The sequence below is a fragment of the Homo sapiens genome, chromosome 12 (genome assembly GCF_000001405.40).
Source record: "Homo sapiens chromosome 12, GRCh38.p14 Primary Assembly".
Lineage (NCBI taxonomy): Eukaryota > Metazoa > Chordata > Mammalia > Primates > Hominidae > Homo > Homo sapiens.
In genome coordinates, this window is record NC_000012.12 from 98,771,767 (window position 1) to 98,796,584 (window position 24,818).

Here is a 24,818-nt window from a genome sequence, read left to right on the forward strand (position 1 = left end):
CTGAGCCCAGCCAAGACTAATTTCTGAATGAGCATATGGGCCAAATCTTGGAGTTCCCAATTACCACCTGTAGGTATCTGATCTGACTCCTATTCAATATAGAAGACTGCAGATTTGTATGAGGCAAACACACCTATTATGCCCTAGTACTTAGAAATGGCTACTAGAGAAACTGACAGACATAGTGAGGGACAAGGAGGCTGTAAGACCTTTACTATGTTTTGGTGCCAGAGAAACAAAGGGATTTCTCAAGTCTGAAAGTGAAATTAGTAAATGAGTAATGGCAGTTGAGATACTAGGTAGGGCTGGCATTCTAAGTTGAATGGAAGAATGAAAATATCGAAAAATCTCCAAACAGCCTAGTCTGCCAAAATGTACTTGGTGTTATGAGTGGAACTGTGACCCACCCAAAATTCATATGTTGAAGGCTTAACATGCAGTACCTTAAAATGTGGCTGTATTTGAAGATAGTGCCCTGAAAGTGGTGATTCAGTTAAAATGAGGTCATTGGGGTGGGCCCTGATGCAATCTGACTGGTGTCCTTACAAGAAGAGGAAATTTGGACCCAGACATCTAAGCACAGAGGAAAGGCGATGTGAGGACACAGCAAGTACGCAGCTGTATTAGTCAGTTCTCACGCTGCTAATAAAGACGTACCCAAGACTAGGTAATTTATAAAGGAAAGGGGTTTAATTGGCTCACAGTTCCACATGGCTGGGGAGGCCTCACAATCATAGCAAAAGGTGAATGAAGAGCAAAGCCATGTCTTACATGGCGGCAGGCAAGAGAGAGCTTGTGCAGGGGAACTCCCATTTATAAAACCATCAGATCTTGCGACACTTACTCACTATCATGAGAATAGCACAGGAAAGACCCACCCCCACGATTCAATTACCTCCCACTGGGTTCCTCCCATGACACATGGGAATTATGGGAGCTACAATTCAAGGTGAGATTTGGGTAGGGACACAGCCAAACCATATCAGCCGCCATCTACAAGGCAGGGAGAGAGGCCTCAGAAGAAACCAAACCTGCCGACACATTGGTCTTACACTTCTGGCCCCCAGAAGCTGTGAGAAAATGAATTTCTGCCATTTAAGCCTCTCGGTCTGTGGTACTTTGTTATGGCAGCCCTAGCAAACAAATACACTTGGTATGTATCTTAATACCGGGTAAACAAGCCAAGCTAGTGTGTTAATTATAAGTTGGGCTTTCAATACAGTCCAGGCCCATTCTGCAAAGTCTTTAATCTGTTGAAAGGGGGTGGGTACTCACCACATCAAAGGCAGTAAACACATGACAGTAGTGGTGATTAGACTTCAAATCTTTTGTGATATAGGCAAATGTTGAGAGGTCTTCTGGGTCCTGGGCAGCACAGGAGATATTACGAATTTCATGCTCAGCAATTATGTTCTGGAAGAAATGACATAAATGATCATTGTTTTCCTCTGCGAACCAGCATATATGACAACCAAGACAAGTAACCCAGGAAGCAGTTGCTTTCCTTCTTTCTGGAGTGTTCTAGACTAGCAACACTCAAAGTGGTCCACTATATTATTTGTGGGTAAATGAATACCAGATATGGAAGAAATATTTTCATTTAATTAAAAACAACCTAACACAGTCATATCCTGGAGCTGCAGTTCTCACCAGTTGCTGTGCATAGAAGCAGTCTGGGTGGCGGCCACTTTTTTTTTGTTTGTTTGAGACAAGAGTCTCACTCTGTTGCTCAGGCTGAAGTGCAGTGGTGCAATCTCGGCTCACTGCAGCCTCCCGCTCCCAGGTTCAAGCAATTCTCCTGCCTCAGCCTCCCGAATAGCTGGGACTACAGGTGCATGCCACCAGGCCTGGCTAATTTTTGTATTTTTAGTAGAGACGGGGTTTACACCATGTTGGCCAGGCTGGTCTTGAACTCCTGACCTCAGGTGATCTGCCCACCTCGGCCTCCCAAAGTGCTGGGATTACAGGCGTGAGTCACCGCGTCCGGCCTCCACTTTAAAAAATAATAGTAATTACTAAGCATTTGACTGTTTCCATTCCCCATGTCCACCTGTAGCTGTGCAGCACTGCTTTCTGCTAATTCTGTATGGAGGGGAGCATCTGTCGCTTTCTCTGTATGAGAAGAGATCTGACCCAATGAGGCTCTTCAAATCCCTCGCCATCATGCTTGCACGTTGTTCTTGTGTCCTGCTCCTCCTCCCTCAGAGCAAGGGCAGGTACTGAAGGAAGCAGGCAGGTGGAAGCCTCAAGGTGCTTTCTCCGTGGAAACTAAGGTGCAGGGGCCTGATAAGAGAAACACCATACTGCAAGATTCAGGCCTTGGATGCCTTGCTTGATCTGGGCCCTGTGGCTATATTAACAACACTTTCCTAACTACATCCACTGTGTATAATTAGGAGGTGGTGCTGTTGCTACCATTATTTACAGGTGAAGCAACTGGTACTCAAAGAATTTAAGTGCCTTATGCAGAGCAGGTGCTGGGGTGGAACTGAAATTTGGGGTTGTCTGACTGTGGAGCTCAGGCTCTTTGAAATGCATTGCAATGCCCTTCAACGTCTCCACCTCCCTCTTACTGGCTTAACAAGAATTGAGTTATTTCTTCTCTAGCATCTCTTTGTGCCTTCTTCCCTGGTGGGAGAAAGGTTTAAGTACCATTGTCCTGAAGCACAAAATAACCACGAAGCAGCTTGGCTGCAAACCCTGCTAGAAACTTCTTTTGATACATAGATGTGTTTAAAAAGAAAAAAAGAAAAAAATTCACATAATCTTGCAATCATTTTCTTATCTTATAATATCCCATTTATGTTTTTTTGCAGTTGTCACAGATCTAAAACCCTCGATGCTTTAGTTACTCTAATTACTTTTTAATTGCGCTGTCTTAAATAACCTGTTGGCAATACAGTGTTCCGTGTACAGCCATCAATGCCTAAAAATGCTTACAAAATGTCCTTCCCTGCCAGCACCCCCAGCAAGTACTTCATGTCCCTCACTTTACCAAGCTGAGTGGTTCGGAGGCAATTACAGAATTAACTCACAAAAGAAAATTAAATTAAGACATTTTTCACCGTGGCCTTTTGTGTTGACATTAATGCAGTGCTCTGTCAAAAAATAACTCAAATTGCAATTGGAATCCCATAAACAAGTAACATTCTATTGCAAGATAAGTTTCAGACTAGAAGGTGATGATCCTCTTCTGGCATCCAGATAGCATTCCTTCAAGTAGAAAACCAAATTAGGGATGGGTGAGTCTTAAAATAATGTTAAAATGAGAAAAAGGTGCAATGTGAGATGGTGTGGGAACCTCTGCCATTATCTTGATTGGGGGCAGCCAATGCCCTGGGAAGCCTGGGTGGATTTGGTCTCACTTGTCCAGGAGGCACTGTCACAGGAAATAGGTGCTTCAACTTTTACTAAGTTGGCATTTTGTGTTCTTGAGATCTTTTGCAAGATCTCAAGGTAGATGCACTTCTTGGGAAATGAAAAGTGCTCTGTGATTTTTATTGCACTGAACTCTCTGAATCTTGCCAACTCATGGGATGCCACTCTTGACAATTTCCAATGGTGCACGGCAGCACTGTGGCCTGGGGGAAAGTTGCAAAGGAGGAAAAGTATATCTTTGGTACTCTCTCCTCCTGTGTCTTTGCTGACCCCTGAATTTTCTGGAGCCCTCTTCTTCTCTTTCTCTCTCTCTCTCTTTTTTTTGAGATAGGGTCTTGCTCTGTTGCCCAGGCTGGAGTGCAGTGGCACCATCTCAGCTCACTGCAACTTCTCAGGCTCAAGCAATCCTCCCACCTCAGCCTCCTGAGTAGCTGGGACTACAGGCATGCACCACCAGCCTGGCTTATTTTCTGTATTTTTTTTTTTTGGTAGAGAAGGGGCTTTGCCATGTTTCCCAGGTTGGTCTCCAACTCTTGGGCTCAAGCAATCCACTTGCTTCAGCCTCCCAGAGTGCTGGGATTACAGGTGTGAGCCACTGTGCCTGGCCCAGCCCTCCTGTTCTCTATTCCCCAGGAGCCCAGGACTGTCTTTTAGCTGCCCAGGGAGGCCTGACCTCTGTGATACTCCATGTTCCAAAATCAGCCTTCTCCCCGACTGTGGAAACTTCTACTACTCTGTTCCCATTGTCTAAGCTATAAGGAAAGCTCATGCTAGTTAAAATATTCTATATTCAGGTAGGAATAACTCATCATTGTGGTCATCCTAACTGGCGCTTAAAAGATGCTCTTGAATTTGTATTGATAGCCTGCGGAGGCAGGTATTTTTGAACAGACCTTTGTGATATATTGCCAATGCTAGAATGGGGTAAGGTCCTGGGATGTCACTACTGAAATACTGCCATCACTCTGCATTGTCTACCTGTGCAGAATGGTGAAGCCAGTTCTCTATGTGCAGGACGAATCAAAGGTCAAGGATACTACAGTTGTAGACTGTATGGAGACTAGATGGTAGACTTCCTCCTTGGAGAAGAAGCCAAAGAGGAACACATTCTTTCCACCTTGTGTCATGCATTTATGAGTGGCTTTTCCACAAATTAAAAAGTGATGTCATGAAGAGGTACAGGTGATGCACCTCAGTTGAAAACTGGACTCCTCACATGTTGATCAGTCTCCATTTCTAAGCACATTTTAAGAAGGCCAGAGCTTTAAAAGGCTCAAGAGAAGAACTGGGGAGGGGCTCCTCCTGCCTCTTCTTGGGGATAGAAATTCTGGCAGCATAGCACCCTTCAATAGGGAGAGATGGTTTTGCCTGTCTGTTGTTTGCCATCATGGTGAGAAACAGCTGAAGAGGTGTCTTGCTGGTAGGGGTAGGACAGGATTCTCGGGTCCAGCTAACTCATATGGTGGTTCTGAGAAGGGCGCGTGGTGATGAAGTGATGCAGCTTAGAAATCTGCCTCTCGCCACTGCATTCAATCTGAGCCCCGACAGGTGGGACCTTTCTCTTGCATCTCCTCATCAGCCGGGCTTTTCCTGAGTGAGGAGACTGCAGTGTTCCCTCCAGGGCGGGGCCAACAGTATAGACCTAGAGCTAACTGGTGATGCCCTGTGGGGCACGTGATGCTGAGAACAGCACATGTGCTTAACATGGCCTTAATTTGTCTCCAAGCTTCTTAGGAGTATTTGCTATAAAAAAAAACAATGGGAGGCCCACTGCAGTGACTCATGTCTGTAATTCCAGTGCTTTGGGAAGCTGAGGCAGAAATATTGCTTGAAGCAAGGAGTTTAAGACCAGCCTAGGCAATATAGCGAGATCCCATCACTCCAAAAAAACTTAAATAATTAGCCAGGCTTGGTGGTGCATACCTGTAGTCTCAGCTGCTCTGGAGGCTGAGGTTGGGGGATCACTTGAGCCCAGGAGTTTGAGGTTACAGTGAGCCGTGGTGGCGCCACTACACTCCAGCCTGGGCAACAGAGTGAGACCCTGTCTCTTAAAAACAAAACAAAACAAAAAAACCCCCAAACAACAGGCACTTGTTTAGGCAAATGTTCCAAAGTATTTTGTGCCCCTAAAATAGCATAGGCCTTGTTTAAAATTGGCATTCCAAAAAAATTTTTAAAAACTCAAAAAACAAAACAACAATGAAAGCAAAAAACAAACCCTGGCACTGCATCATTTTTAATTTAGCCAGATGGGAAGGCTGAGGAGGGAGTCAGCACAGGAAGGCAAAATGCAACCTGCTCCTCAGCTGAGCACTGAATGTAGAAACCGTGTCTCCTCTCGGAAGACCTCCCTCCCCGACTCCCCCAACCTGAAGAAGGGTCCGTTACTAAACAGTTGCAGTCCCCCAGGCCGAATTCCCTGCTAGAGCAACCTTTGGGCTATTGATCAACAGAAGGCTGAGGTGATTTATCTAAAACACTTTAGTGCTAAATCTATTGCAAGTTCCACTTTTAATTCAAGATCGCTTTCTGCTTCCTCCTTCTTAAATCAGGATTAGTGATTCAATTCATTTCCTAAGTTGCTAGGCAATACATTTATGAGTTTATAACTAGGCCTCTAACCCTTTCCCATGAATTCAGCCAAACCCATTTATTTATTATAATCAAAGGAAAGAAATGCTTCACGGAGGGTTAATCTTTCACAAAGTCTAATGGGGGCTAATAGGAAGGGAAGAGTAATTAACACACAATGAATTATCACACAATGAATTAGTTTGCACTTCAAACTAATTTGTGGAAGGTAGCTGTGGAGTAACAGAAAAAGCATTAGGTTAGGGAGGTTGAAAATCAAGTTTTAGTCGTTCTTCACGACCAACAGGCTGTGTGACTGCAGGGCAGCACTGAGCCAAGGGACTGAGGCCTTCAGGTCTCCAGCTGCCCAGGGCAGATTAAACAATCACCTCTCTGACCAAGGCAGGGGTACGAGATGCAAGGTTAGGAGAGTACTGTTGAAGAATAAAGTACGATGAAAACATAAAATATGAACAGTAGGCTGGGCGTGGTGGCTCATGCCTGTAATCCCAGCACTTTGGGAGGCTGAGGCGGATGATTACCTGAGGTCAGGAGTTCGAGACCAGCCTGGCCAACATGGCGAAATCCCATCTCTACTAAAAATACAAAAATTAGCCGGGCATGGTGGCACACACCTGTAATCCCAGCTACTCGGGAGGCTGAGGCATGAGAATCGCTTGAATTCCAGGCCTAGTGGCCTCTAGTACCTGAAATGGTGAGATCTTTAAATATGCTTGCATATTAAAAGTTCTTTGCTTCAAATCAAAGTGGCCCACTGACACAGCACTGCCCAGTGGGGGAAATCCCTGGTGAAAACAGAAAGCAGGACTCTGGAGTTTATCAATCTGCTCCTTTTCTGCTGTGCTCTTTGCTCTAGAACAAAGTAGCATACACAGGTGTCCTCGCACACACTGCTAGAATCTAGGTATCTGGGCATGGTTCCTTTCACACCACAACTTGAGGATGATCCTTCAACTGTGGATCCTCCGTCCCTTCTGAAGCCAGTCCTCCCACCCTGGCTGATGGTAGTATTTCTCAGTCTTACCCAGTCAAACTCCACCAATACGGCCTTCCACTATTTTCTTTCTTCTAACCTGCTAAACACAATCTCTCTACTTGGGCTCCCTACACAGCAACTACTAGACTATTGCCCTGAGTCACCCACACTCTCCCTACCCACTGTCATACTGGGGGAGATCAGCTACCTTGCAGGTCACTGGGATGTGGACCCTGTATAGCCAGTTGAAATTAACATCCTTCAGTTCCTTAAAAAGCCAGGCACATGTTGTCATACATTCACAGACTGGCTCCACTTGCCACCAACATAGGCACTTTGCCTTTGCTCTAGATTCTGAAAATATGTTGAGGACCACACTGCAAAGACTTGAAAAAATATGCTGACCTTCTTTATTTAGCATCTTTATTTACATAGAATTATCTTTTGCATATCTTTCTGTGCTTTTGCTTCCAAGAGTAGTCATCAGTGAGCAGAGGTTTATGGTTAACTCATCTAATTATTGGCAATTGAAGTAGAAGTATCTCCTTGAGGCACAGGAGCATCAACTTCTGTGTCTCTTGCCGTGTCAGTAAGCAACATACAATGGAACCGGCAGAGCTCTCTTTCATTCCTCTGATTGTGGAGAGTGGGTTAGAGAAAATGCTATTAATACAGCTGCATCCAGCCATACCCCCAAAATCATGAAATGATTGCCTTAGGACTGTAGGAACTTCTCAGGGCAAATACCACTTGTTTAGAAATTGTCAGAATCCAAGTCTGCTAAAGTTGTTCATCTAAGAGAGTGTCAAATTCATCCACTGAAAATATACTGCTATTCAAGCTTTCCAAGCATAAATGGGATAGAGGGAGTTGTTTCAATTTAGGGAAAAAAAAATCCAGGTGCCAAAGTCTTTCTTAAGATTTAGATACAGCAATAGCAATGGTATCTTTGCCATTCTATAATGTGTTCCATAAAGTGTTAGAACTTTTAAAACCAACTGACTATAATTTAAGGATAAAGTAATTTTATATACCAGGAACTAAAGATGCTTCCAAGAAATAAAAAAGCAAATCAATCAGCATTGTTCTTATTTGAGTCTCCACAATTATTATCTGTCAACAACCATCAACAATATTTTGCACAGTTGGAATCACCATTATGCTGATATTATTGGTCAGCATGATGCTGGGTTATATGCTTTTTGCCTGGGTTTCAGAACTTTTTCTATAACCGGGAGGTTGTTTTCCCAAGCAGATTTGGGGAACTTGGGTTTACCTAACTACTGAAACAACAATCTCTTTCGTCACAGAAAACCAATTGGAAAAACTTCCGATTCAGATGCTGGGGTTTAATAGAGACACCAAAGAGTCACTGCCCGTGAGACTTTTCCCTGGAACCTAAATCCAGTTGCCTTGGCCCTAAGTTGCTGTTTCTTAAGTTCACCTGTTTCATGACTTCTGTTCCCTTTCTCCAAAACGGAGGGGGTCCAGGTGGGAGGTCTGGGTGAGAGGTCCAGAGAAAGACCAGCATTCACCAATGGTGATCACCTCTTTTACCCTCCTTCTGTACTTGATTAGTTGAAAGGATGCAGGAATAAAACACATGAACGTTTGGGGTTTTGTGAGGAGGAGTCAGTCAGCTTTGAGTTTATGGAGAGGGACAATGGTCACACCCAAGCTTTCTACTTCAGCACCACGATGCTGTTGTCTTTGTCAAGAAAGGAATGCTTTTTCAGTAAAATGCAACCCCACTGACCACGCTTGACATCACAGCCCACAAACTATTCCCACTGTGAGGAAGAAGTCACAGCGGAGCCACAGCATGGCCTGGGCTCTTTTCTGATTGTGTCTCTTAAGAAAACAGTACAGCTGAAACTCTCTCCCATCTCAGAGGCTGGGAATTAAATGTAGTTATAAAATTAAAAAGTCAGAAAATTATCAACAGAAAAGACACATATATATCTCTAGATAAACAGAAAGACAAATGTTCTAGCCCTTTATCTAGTAACATCTCCTCTGATGGAGGAGTGATGACATTGTTGACTTTTCAATCTACAAGTGATTTTTGTTTTCTGTTTCAATGTTCTCCAGATCCAAAGGGACATGCTGGATAATAAGTGGCCACAGTCTATTAGAGAAAGCATCATGACAAAGTGAAAGCACAATATTTATAGAAACCCCAGATCAAGCCCTTCCCCCAAATGGTTCCTTTCTGTATGTATGAAGGTGTGTATGTGTGTGTGTACATGAGCGTGTATCTATAGGTATATGTAGGAAGCATGAAGGTTGGGGGAAAGGGATGATTACAGTGGGGAGTGCTGGGTATTATAGGAAGCAAAGGATTTTAGATCATACACTCAGGACTGCATCTGGTGTCTAAACCAGAGAGAGGAGTGGTACTTACCTTATTTGTTGCATCAATAAATTTGACTCCTTTATATGAGACAGAAAGAATAATAGTAGGGACCTTCTTCATTTGCTCTGTAGACTTCTGAAATTAAAATTAGAAAGCTGTTAGAGCAGTTTGTGTTGCGTGGCAACTGAAGCACACAATTTTTCCTCCTGAAAGATAAAGATGAGCTCAAATTAAAAACAACAACAACACACACACACACACACACACACACACATCAGATACACACCACGCACACTCTAATTTTAATGTCTGCCTCTCCTCTCTTGGGCTTAGCTATACTTCGGGCTTATAAAGTTATCCGTCTTGCCCTTGAGGATCTAAAAAGAGTTTGTTCCGCTACTTTGTGTGGATGAAGGAGTACTTCTTTTCCCTGACACTAAAGGGTGAATGAAGAGGTCTGTCTCCTACTGCAATTTCAAGTGACTGTTCCTTTCACAAGAGTTAAACCACATCGGACTTAACTCCAAGGGTGCATTTGACATTAACAAAATATATGCACCCCCCCTTTTCCTAGTTACCTTCATTCTTCCAGGCACAGATAATGCTTGGATGTATACTTAAAATAGGGATGTAAAAGATATCACTATGTATTGTTCTTGAACTGGACCAAATCCATAAATGCTGATATTATATTTACAGCAGAATCACTTGTGACCACAAGGGATGTAATGATGCTCTAGAACAATGAAGCCCTCCAGGAGCAGTCTGGGTTTTGAGCCACAGCAAAATGCTGGACAGCCCAGGTAACCTACTTTATCATTTAGAGCTGCTACATTCCCTTAGGCCAAGTTCTTGTGATAGATGTTCACACTGGCTGAATGTGCTTAGAGTTTGCAGCTTGTACAGTTTTATGCATCTGCAAAAAGTTTCTCTATAATTTAGTATGTGCCTTTCCTGTTTAGCTTTATCATTCATCACCAGTCACCAGCAGTCAGTTTACTTCATTGCCCTCTATATATACTAGTAATAATCACACTAAACATCAAGAAGAACCTACCTGACAGTTAGCCTGGTGGATTTTCCAGTTAAGACAGATGGGAACATAATAGGAGAGAAAACATATAAAAGGTGAGAGAGAGGAAACCATTTCAATAATTCACCAACAGTGTAAATTCATTAAAAAACAAAAGATGCCACAAAAGAACAGGCTTCAGAGTCATCAAAGATGCAGTGCCACTGTTATTTTAGAAATGCTGCAGGCTTTCACCGGCCCCTTTCTTTCTCTGTTTCTCATCATTCTGTTTACTGCACCGCACAGTCTTAGGACTGACACACAAGAACCTTCCACTTTGAGCTTTCAACAACTAGTTGTCTTATGTCTATTAAGGGAATCAGGAAAAAATAGAAACTTTCTTGATTTATTCATTTATATTTCCCAATTTTCTAGTTTTAAATTCTGGAATGCAGCCAGAATTCAGGAAGGCTTTTAATTGGATAGTGTGAGTGAAACTCATTGAACTCAATGATGAGACTTCAATTGCATCTTTTAGTTGAGCTGTGAAAAGGGGTGTTTCACATTTTCCTGATTGTTTTGGCACAACATCTTTTTGAGAGTTACTACGCCTGTTTCAAAAACAATGGCTTACTAAAAGTATTGTTATTTAATATCTGTTGTTGTATACAGGATGTGAAAAAGCAGCTCTCTTGCTTTTTAACCAGTTTTGAAATTCCCTGGATGCATCAGTGTTCCTTTGTGATTGCCAAAAAGAGAGATTATGAAAATAAAATATAAGGTTAGAAACTCGTTTTAATGCTTCTTCCAACCACTTCTTAAAAATGTGCAAGACACATCAAAGGCAGGCTAGAAGAAATCATGTGCAATGTGTTGATTTTAAGGCAACGCGGTGGCTGAACTCTGTAAAGAGGGAGGGCTGGGGCAGCCCAGGCGATAGTTGGAATAACTGAATGCATATGTGAAAAATTTTCTGCAAAGCGTCACAGTGGATTTCGGTAAATCACCTCACTTATCTTTTGCCATGAATCCATTCTCCTGGACAGATCTATCTGTAATGCAAAGCAATATACAGCTAATATTCAGATGAAAATCTATTCGTTATTTGTTCAGCAATCGAGTTGTTACTTTAGGCAACCCACTGTGCTTGTCACTGGAAAAGCTCGAGTCTAGTTCAGGGATGGCAGACAGACCTCAAACTGTGTGCAAACACCAGTCTGCTGAAAGCACTGTGTTGAGAAAGATTCTGAGCTGTGTCTGAGCTCAGTAGAAAAGAGGGCTGGAAATGATGTCTGCCATGGGAGAAGAAGAGGACGAGGCGGCCCAGGGGCTACACATGAACATGCCTGCTAGGTCTGATAGGAAGAACAGCTACAATTACAATGTTGACAAATGTGACAGGAGCAATATGAACAACATGCCTCCAGGATAGTGAATAAAAACAGCCTTATTTTGCTTGACAGAGTGGGGCCAGTCTTCATTCATTCATTCAAAAGACAATGACGGCCTATTAGGGGTGATTGAGCTGACTCTTGATGAATAAGCATTTTCCAAGTAGCAAAGAGGCCAAAAGAGGCTGTTTTAGCAACAGAACTAATACATGCACAGAGGCCTAGAAATGAGAATGTGGTGGGTTTGGGTAACTGGTGGAGATGAGAGTGGTAGAGTAGGTTTGGAAGGTTGTGACTTACTCTGCCAAGTTAGGGTCCGTTGGAAGCTTTTCACTAGAGAGTGACACAATCAGACCTGTGTTGCAGAAAGATTCTTCTGGTGGTTGTTTATGAAGGAGGGACTGGAAGAGCTAGAGGCTGGATGCAGGGAGTCAGGAAGTTATTGTGCAAATCCAAAGGAGAGAGAGACCCTAAGCACCTGAGTTGAAGTAGAGGCATTGGAGAACAGGAGGAGGCACCACAATGTCGATGAGGAAGAACTGAGAGGTTCTGTTGATTGATCTGCTATGGAAGATGAATGGGTGGGAGGATTCCACAGATGAAGAAGCCACTGAGATAAGGAATACTGGAGGGGAAAGTGTTTTTGCGTAAGCATAATGGAAATGCTTTTGCACATGCTCAGTTTGATAAGCAGGTGGAGATATCCAGTAGGAAATGAGAATCAGATCTGGAAATCCACCTACATACATGGATGGCCAAGGAGGTGGGAGTGGACAAGGTGGTTTAAGGAGTGAACAAGAAAAGAGGGAAGGACACACTTCAGGGGAAGATGAAATCCCAAGGGGTGGGGCAGAAACAAGAGCTAATGAAGGAACTGGAATTGAAGTTGGAAGATGCCTACAACACAGTATCACAGAAGCCAAAGAGGAGAGGGCTTAGAAGGTAGGAGCAATGCCCCATGCCATGAGGACTAACAAGGCCTAAAATGGTGTGCCTACCACAGTGGCTGGCTCACACAGGAGCTGCTACTTTCATTGGGCTTACTGGGTGGAATTCCTGGCTTTTGCAACAAGAAAAAATTGTTGCTGATTTCATTAAGAGTAGCTTCAAGAAAATGGTGGCAGCAGCTGGAGAGGAGAACACAGTGAGCTGTGCAATGGATGCCAGTTAAAGGAAGCAGAAAGCTGGAACAACAGGCAGGTCAGGACACAGCTCTTGAGCTGACATGAAGGCATCAGCGGTGGTTCCTGTGATGGTACAAAGATCCCACATCAGATGCTCGGCCAAGTTGAACAAAAAAAAGAAAAGATGAAGGATAGTCATTTCTTTTTCTTCCATGGGTCCCAGGAATCTCTGCTCTCCTAACTGGAGGCAGCACTATGGTGTCAGTGATGCAGGCTGTGCACAGGCCTCTATGAATGGCAGTGTTGGGGGTGGCCATGCTTTCCAATCTGGAGCCCAAACTGTACTGCTCTCTCCACTGAGTCATTTGACAAGAAGCTGATGGATCCTGACCAGCCAGAGAGTTCAAAGGGAGGGTGGGAAATCTTCTGGGTAGAGCCCCTCCTTGAAGGCATTTATACACCCTACAAAAGATAAGGATCCATCGTCTTTTAAAGGGGTTTTCTGATGGTGTACTTTGACAAGAGTTTCCAAAGAGGTCTTTTCATACATAATCTTAGCAAAAGATGAAAATGCATAGAAAGAAGGCAAAGAGGCTAGGCATGGTGGCTCATGCCTGTATTCCCAGCACTTTGGGAGGCTGAGGTGAGCAGATCACCAGAGGTCAGGAGTTTGAGACAAGCCTGGCCAACATGGCAAAACCCCGTCTCTACTAAAAATAAATAAATTAACCAGGCATGGTGGTGGGTGGCTGTAATCCCAGCTATTCAGGAGGCCGAGGCAGTAGAATCACTTGAACCCAGGAGGCAGAGATTCTAGTGAGCCAAGATCGCGCCACTGCACTCCAGCCTGGGCAACAGAGTGAGACTCCGTCTCAAAAAAAAGAAAAAGAAAAAGGAAAAAAAAGGCAAAGATCAAAGTTATTGAGTCTTCAGGGAGTCTAATCTGGGAGGCAAGAAATCTAGTAAGTGCCCACTTCATTTCATGAAGGCTTTACAGGCATCAAAATGTGAGCACGGGGCTTCAGTCCAATCACAGGCAGTCAAAGTCCCTCCTTCCCCATTTTCTCTTCGGTGTTATGATCATCATTCTTTTCTCCTTCCCAGGGACGAAGGCGCCTACTCTGAACATCAAGTTACTGAGCACGTGCTCTCAGGCAACACTGGTTTCTATGACCTATCTATCTGCATGCTCTGCTGGGTGTCTGTATAATTAATACTCCCATATGTTTCTGTTAAAAATTCAAGCTTTATTGATTTGTATAAACAGAACTCTGTACTTCAGGCCCATTTCCCCAGTGAAAGATGCTCAAGGCGAACCTTCTGTTATCGTTTTCTTTCGTTTCTAGTTGCTTTTCCCTATGCCATGCTCTTTGTGGCATTTTTCAGGTTTCCCAATGTTCTCAAATTTACCCCCCTTCAGAGCCAGCTTTACAGAAGAGACTAATTTGTAATGGAGACCTCTGAGTACATAAGCAGATAAATACTCCTGGGTAAGGCTCCAAATTATTTTAATTTTTACAGCATCTTGGTCACCTGCAAAAAGCATTATAGTGATATTCAAATGTATTTTGTTCACAATTTCCCAAATTAAGAGGATCATACTTTTATTTTTCCAAGAGAAATGATATTTAGTTATATAGAGATGTTACGTTTCTGAAATCTAAAATACAATGCAACATTTGAATCCTAAATTCAAAGGCAGTCTTCTCTTTAAGCACTTGAGTTTATATTGTCTATAACCATTAAACAGAAACAGGAATCAGAATTTCATATCTGGAGGTGGCCACCTGAAATATTGTTCTTAGTAAGTCACTGAATGCTTTTAGAGCATTTTTAAAAAGAAGAGATTTTGAAATCACCAAGAGAAAGAAATAACCATCTTTCTTCTTCTCCTTTTTAATTTTAAATTATGAACGGCTTGGTATCAGGTCAGAAATTATCATTGGTGCTTTTATTACTGCCTTAAAGCATGTTCTGAAAATAAGTAGGTTTTCTATTTTGAATGCAGAATCAGTAGTATGGAGATACCCTTTCCAGAGTGCACGAACTCTAATCTCAGAGCAAGACTTTTCCGAGCACGAATGAAAGCAGAGGGGTTTATGATGGGGAGCACTTCAGTTGTGAGCTGTAATGCTCTTTGAGTCTGGAGTGGTGTTAATGTTCCGAGTAAGAATCATTAGTGCCCCATCATCAGCACAGACAGGGAAAACAGTGAGGCTAATGTGGGGAGGACGCCACCAACCCTTCATTCTTACAATGCCCCGATTGCTCCCAGTGTATCTGAAGCACAGGCTGGGGAAGGGATTTCCGGTTGGTCTGTTGCCATCCAACTTACAGTATATTTTTAACCTACACATGGCTATCCTGAGAATGCTTTCTAGTTAGATATTCAGTCCTGAGTCGTAACTATTAATTTTGGCATATAATATCTTCCTTAGTTAGATTCAAAGCTTAATTATTATATTCCATTTCAGCAAGTAAATTAAAATAGGATCAAGCAATTATGTTTGGTAGCCCTAAGTGACTTTCAAATGATTAAAAAACATACACAAAATAAGCATTATTGTGGTGATTTTGTAGGCAGTGAAACTAGCTAGGTTGTGGGATTACAAGAGATAAAAAGCAGAACACCAATCAGCAATTTGAAATGAACTCTCACCATTTGAAACTGAGCTTAAAGGCCACTTTCTGGGGAAAGGCTTCCGCGGTCTCCCAGGCTGACAGGATGGCTTTTCTCTTGTTCCCCTCTCTGCCACTTTTCCCGTGCACTGCCCTGGGTCTCAGCGTGGTCTGCTTGCTTCCCTATAGGGAGCTCCTTGAGGACTGCCCACACCTTTCTTGATTTGTCTTCACTGTAATGACTAGCACATGGTCTTACATTGAGCCCTATGAAGTAGCCATTTTTCAAGTCAAGAATGGCTAAGTACCAGCAGTTTCATAGGATTCGATCTAATGGTTGCTGAACTCCATGACTGTTAAAGGAACAGGCCAGTGAATTAATGTATCGTAACAAGCACGTAGCCAGCGTTATAAGGAACCACAGGCTGGGCGTGGTGGTTCTCGCCTGTAATCCCAGCACGTAGGGAGGCTGAGGTGGGCGGATTGCCTGAGCTCAGGAGTTCGAGACCAGCCTGGGCAACACAGTGAAACCCCATCTATACTAAAATACAAATAATTAGCCGGGCATGGTGGTGGGAACCTGTAGTCCCAGCTACTCAGGAGGCTGAGGCAGGAGAATTGCTTGAACCCAGGAGGTAGAGGTTGCAGTGAGCTGAGTCGGCACCACTACACTCCAGCCTGGGTGACAGAGCGAGACTCTGGGTGACGGAGCAAGACTCCATCTCCAAAAAAAAAAAAAAGGAAGCACAGTGCCAGCCTCTCAACACGCTGAGAGCTCAGCAAACTTTCAGAGAGCTCTGGTACCCAGAGCCAGCAAAGAGGCCTTGCAAAGCTTGCAGGAGGACCACAAATGTGATTAGAGGGTTACCAAGACATTCCTATGGGGTGGAGAAAACTTCAAAGATTTTGGCTGGGTGTGGTGGCTCACGCCTGTAATCCCAGCACTTTGGAAGGCCGAGGTGGGTGGATCACCTGAGGTCAGGAGTTCAAGACCAGCCGGACCAACATGGTGAAACCCCCCATCTCTAGAAAAGAGAAGAAAACAGACAAAAAAAAAAAAAAAGATCATGAGAGTTTTCAGTCTCAAGGAGGCAAGGCTTAGGTCTTCGTTTCTGCAAAGCAAACTGGCTCAAATTGCAAGCATTAAGAAGAAAAGCCTTCTTGACAGGGTAGAAGGATTCCTAAGGGCAGCTGGGAAGTTTCCCCCTCTAGACATCTTTAAAAATAGTTTGGGTTCTCATCTGTCATTAATGAGGCTAAATGACCTTGCAAGGACTTTTCTGGTCATAGGAGGTCTGGCACAAAGGCTGAGGGAATACAGAACCTAAGACCAGGTGACAAGAACAGACAGTGGGCAAGCAGCCATTGAAACCACACCTCCTGCATATGACATGGCCATTGTACTGCCTGTGTAACTCACATGCTCTGGAGCACAAGTCTGGCACAGCACAAAGCGGTGCCCTCCGTTTCTATATGCTGCTGATGCTGCACGTCTGAGACCATACTTTGAGAACTACTGCTCTAAAAATGCGGTCGATCAGTTTGATTGAAAGTTACTGTCAGAACTGTTCTCTGCTGCTGTGCATGTAAACTCGCTGTACTGCATCCTACATTAATTCAGAAAGAATCTAGTTTATCAAAACACACTGTTCTCCACTTGACAAGTGATTTCCAAAAATCCTTAGTTAGCATTTAGCTACAGCTCTTGGTCTTGAGAGCAATTAACAAGAATTATTTAATTCTTCATGGTTTCTCAGGGACTGTGAATGGATAAAACATTCTTCACATAAAACAAAGAGTTCAGTTCATAATGACAGATTCAAGAGTTGTACCCAGAATAGATGTTGGCCGGGTGTAGTGGCTCATGCCTATAATCTCAGCACTCTGAGAGGCCGAGACGGGCAGATCACTGAAGATCAGGAGTTCAAGATTAGCCTGGCCAACATGGTGAAACCCCGTCTCTACTAAAAATTTAAAAATTAGCTGGACGTGGTGACGGGCGCCTGTAATCCCAGCTACTCGGGAGGCTGAGGCAGGAGAATTGCTTGAACCTGGAAGGCAGTGATTGTAGTGAGCCAAGATTGCACCACCACACTCCAGCCTGGGCGACAGAGAGACTCAAAACAAAAACAAAAACAAAAAACCTGAAAAAACAACGATAGAGTTAATAAGATCAGGGGTCTTGCTGAAGATGAAGATGTATAGTTTTTTTTTTTTTATTAAAGTTCCCCTATTCTCCCTCAAATTAAGCACATGCTCTTGAGAGATGTGACAGGCAAACATGAACATGGGCTTGTGTACTGCCCCTGGGAGTGTAATCTGGAAGAAGTTTTCTAGAAGGCAATTTGGGAATAGTTATCCAAAGTTTCACAGTGTGTATACCCTTTGATCCAGCCATTCTATATCTAGTGGCTCATTCTAAGGAAATAATCAAACCAACTGCAAAAGATTTAGGTAAAGGGTGTTACCCATAGTACTGGCTATCATTTGAAAAGAATTGGAAATGACAGAATGACCAACAAGGAGAACTGGTTAAATAAATTTGGTTCAACTATGGATTGGAATATTGTAACCAACCACCACAAATGATATTGGGGATGAATATGTATAGGAATAAAAATATTTCAAAATATATTATTGTGTTTAAAATACACGGTAAAACAGTGGATATGCAATATTTCCACTTCTTACTAGAAAAATAGTACCTACAAATGCATAAATAATTGGTCTGGAGGATTACACAAGCATAAGATGTTAACAGGGAGGAATTTACCACTTCTAGGTGGTAAAATCACAGTTGTTTTTATTTCTCCTTCCTGTTTTTCTATTTTAGAAGTGAACAGTAATGAACGTGTATTGCTTTTGTAATAAAATTTTAAAAATGTATGATTTTAATTAAAAATGCCAATTGCAAATGTGTGAAAAAACACACTGTTTGAATCTATCACTTATAAGTGCAACTTCTGTGTTTTTTGGGGGTGTGTGTAGCCATCTTGAGCTTATGAAGGGACCCACTGAGGAGCTCCTTCCTCTGAGAAGAAAGGGGTAGTTGTCAGCAAATGAGAGTACAGGGTATGTTTGGATTCCTGGCTTAGTTCCATTCCTTCCTTGCGGCGTGGTTAGGTACTCAACCTCCCTGTGTCTTAGTTACTTCATCTGTAAACGGGTATGTTAATATAGCATCTACATTTTAGAGTTGTGAGGATTGTACAGGATAATTCAGTGCCTAGCATGTAGTGAACATCAACAGATTTTAGCTATTACTGCTTAAAAACAGTATTTTTTTTGGTAGAGATGGGGGTCTTATTGTGTTGAACAAGCTGGTCTCAAACTCCTGGCCCCAAGAGATCCTCTTGCCTCAGTCTCCTAAAGTGCTGGGATTACAGGTGTGAGCCACCTTGCTCGGCCAGCTGTTATTGTTATTCTGAGGATAGATGCTTTCACTTAGAAAGTCCCTCTCCAAAGCAAAGCACTGGCAAAAGAGAGCAGAAACAAAATTGAAATCTGTGTGCATAACTGAACACTCTCCAGGCTACTTGCTATGATGGCAGGGAAATGGTGGTTGCAACAATGAACTTTCAGTGGATCAATATACCTGGGCCAATGAGAAGAGACTCAATCAATCAACATGTTTAGAAAGAGCTTGAGACAAGTGGGAATTAAAGACAGAAGCAGCCCAGGAAATCTTTCAGTGATGTGAAGTAGTAAGGGTGTTATATGGGAGAAAAGCTAGCAACAAGGGCTATAAAAAATAACAAAGAGAACTGGGGTTTGAAGACAATATGGAATAAGATGGTTGGTGCTCTTTAGCCTTCTAGAGTAGGCCCGTAAGAAAACATTCACAATGAGAGGCTGGGCGTGGTGGCTCACGCCTGTAATCCCAGCACTTTGGGAGGCCGAGGTGGGCAGATCACAAGGTCAGGAGTTCGAGACCAGCCTGGTCAATATGGTGAAACCCTGTCTCTACTAAAAATACAAAAATTAGCCGGACGTGGTGGCGGATGCCTGTAGTCCCAGCTACTCAGGAGGCTGAGGCAGGAGAATTGCTTGAACCCAGGAGGCAGAGGTTGCAGTGAGCCAAGATTGGGCCACTGCACTCCAGCCTGGGAGACAGTCAAAAAAAAAAAAAAAGAAAACATTCACAATGGGAAAGGCACATGTGAGCAAGGATCAGCAATAAGGAGTTACCTATGTGGCTGTTTCTTTGTGGGCATTGCGATTCAATAGACACACAACACACATTTATGGGCTTAGAAGCTGTATTCACTATGACTCACGCAGTATTTGGGAGAGAGTGAAAGAAAATAATTGATGCTTCCATGAAATTGGGCAACAGAGAATTTTTTTTTAAAGATGGGATCTGGCTATGTTGCCCCGGCTAGAATGCAGTGGCTGTTCACAGGTGTGATCACAGTACACTACAGTCTCAAATTCCTGGGTTGAAGTGATCCTCCTGACTCAGCTTCCCAAGTAGCTGGGAGTACAAGTGCATGTTACTGTGCCCAGCTCAACAGAGACTTTTAAAAAAATAGTTGTTTAAAAGTTTTTTTTCCCAGTCTGATTCCTAAGAAGTAATTCTTGAAGTTATATCTGAAAATGACAACTTGTCACAGAAGGAATTTGTATGAGGACAGAGGAACAAAACATGATTTTAGTTTGAGTCTCTTCTAAGAGGAAAGAGGCTTTTACATTTAGTATTTCCATCTAATTTTAAGATCTAACTTTTTCAAAGTTTTCCAACCCATTCCCTCTATTGTTTCCTAAAACACATAAAAAAGAGAAAAGTCTTAATACTTCAACTAGGGCATGGATTATTATTTGGAAATTTGTATATTTGAAAATTCACGCTTTAGAAGTGCTTCTGGATTGAAAGTTTAAAAATCATACAAATTAAGAGGAACAGATTCAATGAGAACTATGGGGAAACTATCCAAATCCTTTGGGAAATAAAAGTTCCAAGACCTAAATACACTAGATTTGCTTATTTCTGACTTAAAAATAATCTTAAAATATTTCCTTTCTTATATCAGGAAGGCAGATTTCTACCTCATCTTAGTTGAAAACAGATATTTCTTTTTTGGGGAGGATTATTTTTTAAAAATATCAATTGACACATAATAACTGTACATATTCATGGGGCACAATGTGATGTTTCAATATATGTATACATTGTGTAATGACAAATAGGGGTAATTATCATACCTGGAACCTTAAACAGTTATGATTTCTTTGTTTTCAGAAATTCAAAATCCTCTTCTAGCTATTTTCAAGTATACAGTACAGCATTGTTAGCTACAGTCACCCTACTGTGCAATTGGGCACCAGAACTTATTTTTCCTACCTAATTGTAAGTTTGTTACCATTGAGCAACGTCTCCCTATTCCCCTCCTCCTCATCTACCCTTTCCTGGCTTTGATAACCACTGTTCTATTCTCTACTTGTATGAGATCAACTTTTTAGATTCCATGTATGAGTGAAATCATGTGGTATTTGTCTTTCTGTGTCTGGCCTATTTCACTTAACATAATGTCTTCCAGGCTCATCTATGTTGTCACAAATAACAGAATTTCATTCTTTTTCTTTCCCTGAATAGTATTTTATTGTGTACATATACCACATTTTCTTTACGCATTCATCTGTTGATGGACACAATTTTAAATAAACACTTAGCTTGGATCCACATCTTGGCCATTGTGAATAGTGCTAGAGTAAACATGGAGGTGCAGATATCAACATACTGATTTCATTTCCTTTGGATATATACCCAATAGTGGGATTGCTGGATAATATAGTAATTCTCTTTCTAATTTTTTGAGAAGCCGCCATACTGTTTCCATCATTGCTCTACTAATTTATATTCCCACCAACAATGTACAAGGGTTCTCTTTTCTCCACATTCTCACCAACATTTGTTATCTTTTGTCTTTTTGATAATAGCCATTCTAAATGGAGTAAGATGTGGTTTTTGCTTTGCATTTCCCTAGTGATTCACTTTGGGTTTGCTTTGCATTTCCCTACTGATTAATGATATTGAGCATTTTTTCATATACTTTTTGGCCATTTGTAAGTCTTCTTTTGATAAATGTCTATTCTGGTCATTTGCCCATTTTAAAGTTGATTATTTGTCAACTCAAAATGGATTAAAGACTTAAATATAAGACCTGAAACCACTAGAAGAAAACGCTGGAGAAACACGTCATGACATTGGACTGGGAAAGAATTTTTTGGATATGACTCCAAAAGCACAGGCAACAAAAGCAAAAATAGACACATGGGATTACATCAAACTAAAAGCCTTCTGCACAGCAAAGGAAACAACAGCAAAGGAGACATCTTAGAGAATGGGAGAAAATATTTGCAAGCTATACATCTGACAAGGATTAATATCCAGAATTTATAAGGGACCCAAACATTGCAATAGCAAAACAACAAATAATCCTATTTTTATTACTTTTTAAGAGAAATTTCCTTGAGAACAAACACCTGTGAATGATACTAACCATCAACTATGGGATTAGAGAACGTAAGACTGCAGAGAGTATTAAATTGAATATAATGGCTTACCTCTTACAGTAACAGATGCTTCCTAATTGTATATTTAATTAGGGAAGTGATGCATTACTGTATATTAGTGAAAATTAAGCCCCAGGGCAAAATTCAGGGTTCGGGATGGGGTATGGGTAAGCCTAGGGAGGCAAAATTGAAGAGCAGAACCTCATCTGGCCAGAGCAAATCCTTCACTTCACCAAAAACTGTATGTCTTGGAATCTTTGAAGTGGGAGTTATTCATACCAACATAACAACAACAACAAACCCACTGAAAAGTCAAAGCAATATACTTATGGCTTTGTAAAATCCAGTCCTGTGGACACATTATTTAAAAGTGGTAATTCTTGGCCAGGCGCGGTGGCTCACGCCTGTAATCCCAGCACTTTGGGAGGCCAAGGCGGGTGGATTACTTGAGGCCAGGAGTTCGAGACCAGCCTGGCCAACATGGTGAAACCCCGTCTCTACTAAAAATACAAAAGTTAGCCAGGCATGGTGGCAGGCGCCTGTAACCCCAGCTACTGGGGAGGCTGAGGCAGGAGAATCACTTGAACCCAGGAGGTGGAGGTTGCAGTGAGCCAAGATTGCACCATTGCACTCCAGCCTGGGTGACAAGAGCGAAACTCTGTCTCAAAAAAAAAAAAAAAAAAAAAAAAAAAAAAAGACTTCCTCTCAAGCTTGGCAAGCTTGGCGTTTGGTCGATGGGGACCCATGGGGGTTCAACATGTGTATCAAGAAGTGTTATTTCTGTCTGGGGCCCATCCACCCTGGCCATGGCAAGATGTTCATCCGCAATGATTGCAAGGTGTTCAGATTTTGTAAATCTAAATGTCATTAAAAACTTTAAAAAGAAGTGCGATCCTCACAAAGTTAGGTGGACCAAAGCATTCTGGAAAGCAGCTGGTAAAGAGCTTACAGTGGATAATTCATTTGAATTTGAAAACCGTAGAAATGAACCTATCAAATACCAGTGAGAGCTATGGAATAAAACTACTGATGCAATGAAGAGAATTGAAGAGATCAAACAGAAACACGAAGCTTAATGAACAGATTGAAGAAAAATAAAGAGCTACAGAAAGTTCAGGATATCAAAGAAGTCAAGCAAAACATCCATCTTATCCGAGCCCCTCTTGCAGGCAAAGGGAAGCAGTTGGAAGAGAAAATGGCACAGCAGCTACAAGAGGATGTGGACATGGAAGATGCTTCTTAAAAATCTCTGTAACCATTTCTTTTATGAACATTTGAAAATGCCCTTTGGAGACTTGAAACTGCTAAATTATTAGCTTATTTTTTACATAAGGCCACTTAAATGAAAAATGATTAAAATATATTTTTCCTACCTTGCCATCTAATGGCACTAGGCAGCATTTGTATAATAACTAATGGCAAAAATTCATGGCTAGTGATGTATAAAATAAAATATTCTTTGCAGTAAAATATTCCCTTTATTAATGTTATAGAAGGGAGGATACAACAAGGAACTAACAATTTGTATGACAGTGTCAAATATTATTTAGATTTTAGAATTTCCTGTTTTGCTTCATTTGCATCTTAGAAGAGCATAATGACATTGTTTGATGAAGCCTAATTATGCTGGACTGTTTTGAGCTGGTTTAACCCTTCTGATAGGTAGTTGTGGATGTCGAGGATGAGAACTGAATAATCTTTGCCTGAAATCACACTACACTCTAGAATTTCCACTCTGGAGAATACTCAGTTCTAACTTGTGATTCCTGGTAGAACAAACTTTATTTTTCTAGCCTAGCAATGATCTAGAAGCAGAGGAATCCCAGTGCCTTTTAAAAGTTATTATGTGGTTTTCTTTTAAAAAGCTCCTGTTTTTGGAAAGTAGAATTTCTGGGTACAACATCTGTTTATTATTTGCACATAAAATAAGCCATTTAAAAAGTGAAAAAAACAAAACAAAACAAAACAAAAAACAAAACCCAGGGCAATGAATGTTCCTGGCACATTGGAGAGGCAGTCCAGTCTCTGGATTCACAGTGTGGGTAGTGGAGTGGACTGCCTGGTTTCAAATCCTGGCTCTGCCACCTGCTGTCTGTGTGACCTTGGGCAAGTGACTTAACTTCTCTTGGACTTTGTTTTCCCATATGTAAAGTGGGAGCAATGGCAATACCTACTGTGTGGACTGAGTGAACTAATGCACATAATTCAGTTGTGCAGGGCAGGGTGTACAGCTCTCAACTGCTACCTGTTATTAGCCCTAATAAACTGATTTTAGGAGGGCATGAGTATATGTCATTTTTAAGATCGTCTATTATGATCCCTTAGGCTGATGGCAACTTGAAAGTGCCTCTATGGTAATACTTCTACCACTTTGGGGTAATTAAATGTTCACATGTTGGTTTCCTCCACTGGATTGTGAACTCGGTGGATTTTAGTCATCTTTGTTAACAAAGTACATTTAAGGAAACATTGATCAGAATTGGGAACCACAGTGATTTACTTATTACTGGGAGAGACATTTTCATTTTGGCTAAAATGCATACTTTGAACAGAAAACATCTTTTTTTCAATTAAAAGAATAAACAGGTAACTCTTAATCTACAATACTTTGGCCTAATAATATTACCATGAATCAACTTTTTAGACCGTCTGTGTCCTAAAGTATTTTTCATGGGGAGTTTTGATTGAACTGGGACTTTTGGCTGAAATGCCACCATGCTGAGAACAGAGAAAACAGCAACTTGGGGTTCAAACTGAAAATTAGCTGCAAGTTGAGATCTACATCATTTATAGTTGGTGAAAGTTCTAATTCACAATAGAATAGTTCCAGATAGCAGATCAACCCTATGCTTCTGGT

At 41.8% G+C, this 24,818-nt stretch overlaps 1 protein-coding gene and 1 pseudogene across 73 annotated transcripts in view, besides 1 other annotated feature; one reads left to right on the forward strand and one right to left on the reverse strand.

Annotated features, from left to right (window-relative positions):
* The window catches only part of ANKS1B (ankyrin repeat and sterile alpha motif domain containing 1B), a 1,250,151-nt gene that overhangs the window by 36,981 nt on the left and 1,188,352 nt on the right, over nucleotides 1–24,818 (reverse strand). For all 73 annotated transcript variants that reach the window (XM_006719514.5, XM_006719507.5, NM_020140.4 and 70 more), the window contains 3 exons: nucleotides 10,360–10,371; nucleotides 9,351–9,437; nucleotides 1,276–1,413 (listed from right to left, as the gene is read on the reverse strand). In XM_006719514.5, coding sequence (XP_006719577.1) covers nucleotides 1,276–1,413; nucleotides 9,351–9,437; nucleotides 10,360–10,371 — 237 coding nt within the window. The remainder of the gene's footprint in view (nucleotides 1–1,275; nucleotides 1,414–9,350; nucleotides 9,438–10,359; nucleotides 10,372–24,818) is intronic.
* Nucleotides 22,210–22,419: a silencer, noted in NCBI's record as "fragment chr12:99187754-99187963 (GRCh37/hg19 assembly coordinates)". NCBI's record gives its function as "represses an EF-1alpha promoter that drives an FKBP-Casp9 reporter gene in an ReSE screen in HepG2 liver carcinoma cells {active_cell/tissue: HepG2}" and the evidence as "EXISTENCE:reporter gene assay evidence [ECO:0000049][PMID:32094911]".
* Nucleotides 22,719–23,244, forward strand: LOC124902995 (probable ribosome biogenesis protein RLP24; annotated as a pseudogene).